Source organism: Homo sapiens, chromosome 2 (genome assembly GCF_000001405.40).
Source record: "Homo sapiens chromosome 2, GRCh38.p14 Primary Assembly".
NCBI classification, from domain to species: Eukaryota; Metazoa; Chordata; class Mammalia; order Primates; family Hominidae; genus Homo; species Homo sapiens.
The window spans coordinates 4,775,204-4,781,977 of NC_000002.12; the positions used below are offsets into that span (position 1 = coordinate 4,775,204).

The 6,774-nt window shown below is 40.3% G+C and overlaps 1 annotated feature.

The window, feature by feature from the left end:
- Positions 5,069 to 6,268: an enhancer, noted in NCBI's record as "MED14-independent group 3 enhancer chr2:4827862-4829061 (GRCh37/hg19 assembly coordinates)". NCBI's record gives its function as "activates an origin of replication core promoter dependent on BRD2, BRD4, P300/CBP and CDK7 cofactors, and independent of MED14, by STARR-seq in HCT116 cells {active_cell/tissue: HCT116}" and the evidence as "EXISTENCE:reporter gene assay evidence [ECO:0000049][PMID:35650434]".

Genomic DNA, 6,774 nt, shown 5'->3' on the forward strand with positions numbered 1-6,774 from the left:
ATGATGCAGGCATCTGCCAATTTATGAGAAACTCAATTGTAAATTGAATGACTGATTTCAAACATTTAGCGAGACTGGCTGGCTGTTTGCTCCTTTTTCCACACTCATCCTGGGCTCATGGTTAGACTCTATTTTCAGCATCCCCTGCAGTGAGTTGTAGCCATGTGAACAAATGGACGTTGACAGAACTGATGTACTCCATTTCTGCATTAGCCACAAATACCTTCCCCTTCTCTCTCATCTTCAATAGCTAGATGTCAGTGCTTGAGGGAAACTTGGAGATCTAGTGTTGAAGATGGCAGAGCCTCCTCATCAATGGGTCTCTGAACAGAGCCATGGCAGACACAGCAATGGATTGCTCAGACCCCCTTCATGAAAGGACACCCTACCCAGCTTGGAGGAGTATGACTGTCTGACAGTTCCCCAGCTGAGTCTGCCTCAGCTTCCCAGCCAAAGCCATCATCTTCTCAGAGTACCCCTGTCCACATAATAATCAAGAGGTTGGTCACTGAGGGGACCCTCTTCTTGGGGCATCAGCCACATAGTGACTGAACAAGGAGAAGGTATAAGGGCCTGGTCATTTCTGCATGGTGCAAGACTCCTCCAATGGGCATCTGGTGTTACATTAATAAAGAAAGAACACTAAATGGAAGGTGCTGACATAGCAATAACTTAAAATATGTAGCTTTAGCTTAATGGGCCAAAAGTCGTCAGCAAAGAACTGTTATCAGAAACTGGAAAGATGGATGTCCATGTTATGTAGTAGCAAAAGATTTAGTAAAAATACTATTTATGCCATTTGTAAGGCAAATTATGTGCTAATGGAGCCTATAGTTTTAGCGGTGAGGTGTTGGAGGACAAGGCTACGTGGTTTTTGGCAATTATTGACTGTGTCTAACAAAATCTTAGGGAAAAGAATAAGCTCAGGGGGGGAAAAAAGCATGCAAGGAAACCTGAAAAGAAAAGGGAGAGTAATTTGGTACCTCAAAAATTTGTGTTTCTATTTGTTGACTTCAAAGGGTAGAAATTTTGATTAGGAAAGAGTTGAGAACAGCAAACACGCAAAAGGCCATTAAAATTCCACCCAATAGAAAGGTCACATGGGGGCTTTAGGCCTGATAATTTCAATTGACCATCATTCAGCTGAGTGAAAGAGATGTGGGGAAAAGTGTTGAAGTTGCAGATACCAAGATGAAAGCACTTTTGTCAGACCCAGACAAAACAGGGCTGGGAAGGAGAGGCTGAAGGAGAGGAGGCTCATGCTTACATGTCAAAGATAAGAACTCTTTCCAATGACTTTCTAAAAACCCTTCATGCACCTCCTGCTTTGATAAATTTATCACTAGACATTCTTTAGTGCCACAGTGATTCAGATAAGACATTCTCAGATGATCACTTGTCTAGTAATGGCATCTCCACCAATGAGTTGACAACAACTTGGGCTTGGAACCTCTGGAACCAATGAAATCTCTTTCTAACTGGTTTATGTAAATTTCTTTTTCGTTTTTGCAAATAAATTTCCCCTTTTTCCTTCCCTCACTGAATGCATGGGTGGCTTGCCATTCCATACATTCCAGATTATAATGATTATTTCTCTTTGCAACATATTTAGAGATTATTTTCTCTAGTGTCTTTTACCCTAGGTTGAGATAAGCAAGCAATGGAATAAATTAGGCTTGAGAATTATGTCTAACAAAGAATTTGATGCACTTACTGCCACAAGAAACTGACTGAAAGAAAATATGTCAGATGTCTACCAGTTTTTTGGAAGAACAGTGCTGCTAACAAAATCAGGAGCCTTTGATGGACTGGCATTAAAACAATGTTCGGATGTCCAAACGGGCATCAGCATGAACTCAGCTATGGAATCTGTTCTCTCTTAAGGGGGAGGCATTCCTCAATATCCACTAAGAGGCCACAAGGATAATGAGCAAGAAACAGCCCCCATTGAGGACAGCCGGGAGCAACCGAGAAAATGGAAAGATTGTTCTGCTCAGAGAGAAGAGTCAGCACCCACTCAAAGATGTCCCCACTTCCCAGGTGGGGGCTCCTCCCAGAATTCATCTTGCCATGGACCAGGTCCTGCTGCTCACCTTCCATTTTTCCCTTTTCTAGGTGGGAGTTTATTGCAGTTACCCTCTCGCCGTTTCACGGTAGTACATTGTGTTTGGGGAGGTGGTGACAGAGGTGTGAGGACATGGTGTACCAGGTTTTATGTCTCCCCACTACTTGAGAGTTGGTTTCTATTTACCACAGAGCATTTTAGTGTTGATCTTTATTCTAGCTGTTATCTTTTACTGAGAAACTGTTATAATTTTGGTGGAGACACTAAAAGAATATGACTTCCATTGAGGTGTGATGAAGAGGTAAAATCTGTTGCGCTTGAAACCCAGGTTTTCTAGCCTGTCTCTGAACGCACTCACTGTGGAATGTCTTCACTTGGGCAAGTGACTTAACCTCTCAGGGTTTTCATATCCTTATCTGTAAAACCGAGGAGCAGTAAGTTACAGAGTTATTTTGGACGGTAGGTAATCAATATTCATCGCAGTGCTCAGCATAGAGCACTTGCATGGCAGTCACTGAATAACAAGAGATGCTTCTCTAAGCAAGGCTTATAGAGAAACATCCATTTCCTTTACAAGAAACGTGCCCTATAAAACTTTATTTATTTCTCTTTTATATTCCCCTTTTTTATTATTTTCTAAGTAATCCTAAGATCTTGCACATTTCTTGTCAATACTGTCTCCTCGGTCCTTTTAGCTCTGCAGAATTAGGCTCTCCCTTTTAAATGGATATCTCAGATCTTTAATTACATGATATCTCAGAAAGCCAACAAGTAATTTTATGAAAGGAATGATAATACATATACATTGTCTCTGAGATATTTTAAAGCCCTCTGAGAAATATCTGTCTCTTTGGTCTAAGAAAAGTGTTTGTCTTGTTGGTATTTGAATATGTCTGTTTATGTATGTCTAGGGCTTTCCTATGCAGCTATTAACACTGTTTTTTAAAAACCTATGTTTATGTGACAAGAAAAAAACCCTCTTCTACAGAGTATATTTTACATTCTTTCTCCACTTGTGCCTCTATCGCAGAACACCCGAGATTAGTTAATTTATAAAGAAGAGAAATGTGTTTATCTCTCATAGTTCTGGATCCTGGAAAATCTAAGGTCAAGGTGCTGGCGTCTCCTGAGGGCCTTCTTTCTGCATGCTCACGTGGCAGAATGTGGAAAAGGAGAAAAGTGGACACATCTCCTTCCTCAAGTCTTTTTAAGGCCATTAATTCGCTCAGGAGGGCAGAGCCCTTATGTCCTAATTACCCTCAAAAGTCCCACCTCCCGGCACTGAAGATTAAGCCCCCCACATGTGAATTTCGGGGGCACATTGTGACCATGGCACATGGACGACAGACTGTCCATTGAACTGAACTCATGTGATCAATGTGTCAGCTTCTACTTTTAGTTTTAAATGGCACTGGGGAAAAACATCTAGACTGATTTAGTGTCATACGTGCATAGAATTTCTAAGTGCACACATTCACATAAATTAACAGATACGTTGCTTGTTTTGTTAAAAAATATAAAATATTTTGCTCGTTTATGATGTCAGTATATTTTGTCAGAATCTAAGATGGAAAGCTTTGACCTTATGCTTAAATAATTGGATGCAGCTTTCTGTCACAATACGTACATACATCATCACATAAATAACTAAAGGTTGCCTATAGTTTGACTTAGGCATGAGGTTAAAGCCTTAGCAAATTGAAGCACTGCTGCAGGTAATCACAGGTTCCCCTGTAACAAAGCTTTTACCTCGAATGCTGTACTTTAGATTTTTTACAACACAAGCACTCTCATTTGACAGATCTGAATATTTTAAAATTTATTGTTTTAACCATGATTTTTGCTCATTAACTTTTTTTTTCAAAACAGAAAACATAAATAAGACCATTTTAGAGATCCTTAGGGGAGTCTTATGTTGAGTGATGCAGTATGGGGTTTAGATTTCTTGTAAAATGATGCCTAGGGAAAGGAATTAGTGCTTATTTGTAAAGTCATACTGTTAGTGAGGTTTTGTTAGAATGAACGTCATTATTCATAAATTAAAAAAGATTTTGTCGGCTGGGCGCGGTGGCTCATGCCTGTAATCCCTGCACTTTGGGAGGCCGAGGCAGGAGGATCACGAGGTTAGGAGATCGAGACCAGCCTGGCCAACATGGTGAAATCCCGTTTCTACTAAAAATACAAAAAATTAGCCGGGCATAGTGCTGCACACACCTGTAGTCCCAGCTATTCGGGAGGCTGAGGCAGGAGAATTGCTTGAACCTGGGAGGCGGAGGTTGCAGTGAGCCAAGATGGTGCCACTGCACTCCAGCCTGGGCAACAGAGTGAGACTCCATCTTTCATACACACACACAAACGTGATTTTATCACTGATGTTTCTGCCTATGGTCATATTCACTATGTCCCTACACAAAACAATGCAACTGATATCATCCGAAAACCACTTTTTTTGACACAACTTTCTGGTCCAAATCACAGCTACTCAGGCCTGGAGAGGGGAAGGGAGTTCAGGGGCGTTGTCTGCCTTCCTAGGTGCAATGTTGATCAGGAATGTGAGGCTGAGGTCCATGCACAGGCTGCAGTCCTGGCTCTGCCACTTACTTGGTGGAAGTCCTCCCCATATCTCCAAGGAATTTTTTTTTCCAATTATTAAATGTAGGGCAGGGAAGAGGGGGCAGCCTATGTGGCCCTAAGATCGTTATCACTCATAACAAAGTACATTTCCATAAAGGAGGTGCACAGAAAGTGAAATTCCTAATGGTTCTAATTGTTGATTACATTGGAATGTAGATGCCGAAAATGTTAGGTTGGTGCAAAAGTAATTGCAGTTTTCACCATTACTTTCAATGGCAAAAAATGTAATTACACTTGCACCAACCTAATATATTCTGGATATTTTTCATACTTTCAAGACATTGAGCACATAGCCTAATGCCCTCCATTATGTGGAGAAGACTAAAGGATTATCATGTATTTCTACATCACAACATAGCCAAGAAGAGAAAATGAGCTCAAGAACTTCAGGTTCTTTGTTCTTTGATGACAAACATTGAAGACTTAGTTTTAAGCTTTTAGGTGCAATTCTTACATCTCCACCAAACAAATGGATGCAGGGCTGTAATATAATTTTTTAGTATTCCCACAGTGTCTTTGCATAACAGATGTTCAATCAATTAATAAATAAGAAATGATCTGTCTCACCTCTACTCAATCCTCATCTCCAGCTGACACCAGCTTCCACTTCCATCCTCATGTCATAGACCTTCTGATTAACAATGCCTGCATCTCCTCTAAAATCCATTGCAAGTCCTGCTCTCTCTGATCACCATCCCTTGTTCCTGCACTCCATTTGCTCTAGTATTTCCCTGGAGAATTGAGCCTCCTGAATGCTCTTCAACCCATTGACTCTCCAATGTTTTCACTCTTCCTCACCTTTCCTCTCTTCAGCCTCCACATCATCTCTTCACTTTCTTATTTTTTAATTTTATTATTTTAGAGACACCATTCTGCTATGTTGCCTAGACTGAAACAAAGTAGTTATTCAAAGGTGGAATCATAGAGCACGACAACCTCAAACTCCTGGGCTGAAGCAATGCTCCTGCCTCAGCCTCCTGAGTCACAATGACTCAGCTGTGCATGCACCACCACAGCTGGCTTCATTGTCTATTTTTGCTTCCCCCATTTACAGAAGAAATTATCTAGAATACGTGTAGTTCCCCTCTCCAAATTTTTCTTTTTGATCAATTTTCTAATATACCTTCTATCCCCACCACACTAATAAAAGTCATCTTTTCCAGGATACCGTTGGCATAAGAGAAGTTAAAAATGCATGCCTCTGCTTTCATCCTAATTGCCCTTGAAGGAATACTCAACACACTTGACCTTCCTTGCTTAATTGAAAGAGCTTGCTTTGTTTGGTTTGGTTTGCTTTTTTTTATGAAACTCATAATACCAAGCTGTTCTTGACCTCACCTTACCTTATGGGCCACTTCTTGTCAGCATTAACTGTTGTTTTTCTTTTCTTTCTTTTTCTTGGCTGGATGGTCCCAGAGCTCTCTTTCAGCCCATTGCTTCTATTTTCTACCCATTTTCTATCCAGTCCTATGACAATTGAGATAGTCAATATGCTAATTGTGTTCAGCTTCATGTCCTTATTTTGGCTTTTTCTGATGGCATGCAGATCTGCTACTATACTGCTTCTTTAATACCTCCATGACAGTTCAAAAAAGGCACTTCAAACTCAAGAAGCACATTTTCAAAACCAAATTTTGATTCAATTCTTTCTATACAAGGTACCTAAAGTGTTCTTCTCCAAGACTTTCCAGTTGCAGTAAATGGCTCACCATTTTCCCAGTTCACCAAAACATCAGCTACAATAGCAGATTATTTCTTGAATTTTTATTATCCCTCACATTTACCCTACACCCAAGCCATCAAAATATCTTCTTGGTTCACCCTCCAAAATGTATCCTGTATCTGTCTGTTGCCTTCCAGCTTCAATGACAAAGCCTATTTCAAGCCACCATGATTTTTCATGTGGATCCCCGATTGCTTCCTAAGAAATCTTCCTAATTTTACTCTCAATCCCTTATTATCCAGTTGTGAGAGATATCTTCTCAAAGTGACTGTCAGATGACATTACACTCCTGCTTAAAATTCTACAATGACTTTCTTTCATAAAACAATCTAATAATTTTTTAGGTTGTAGA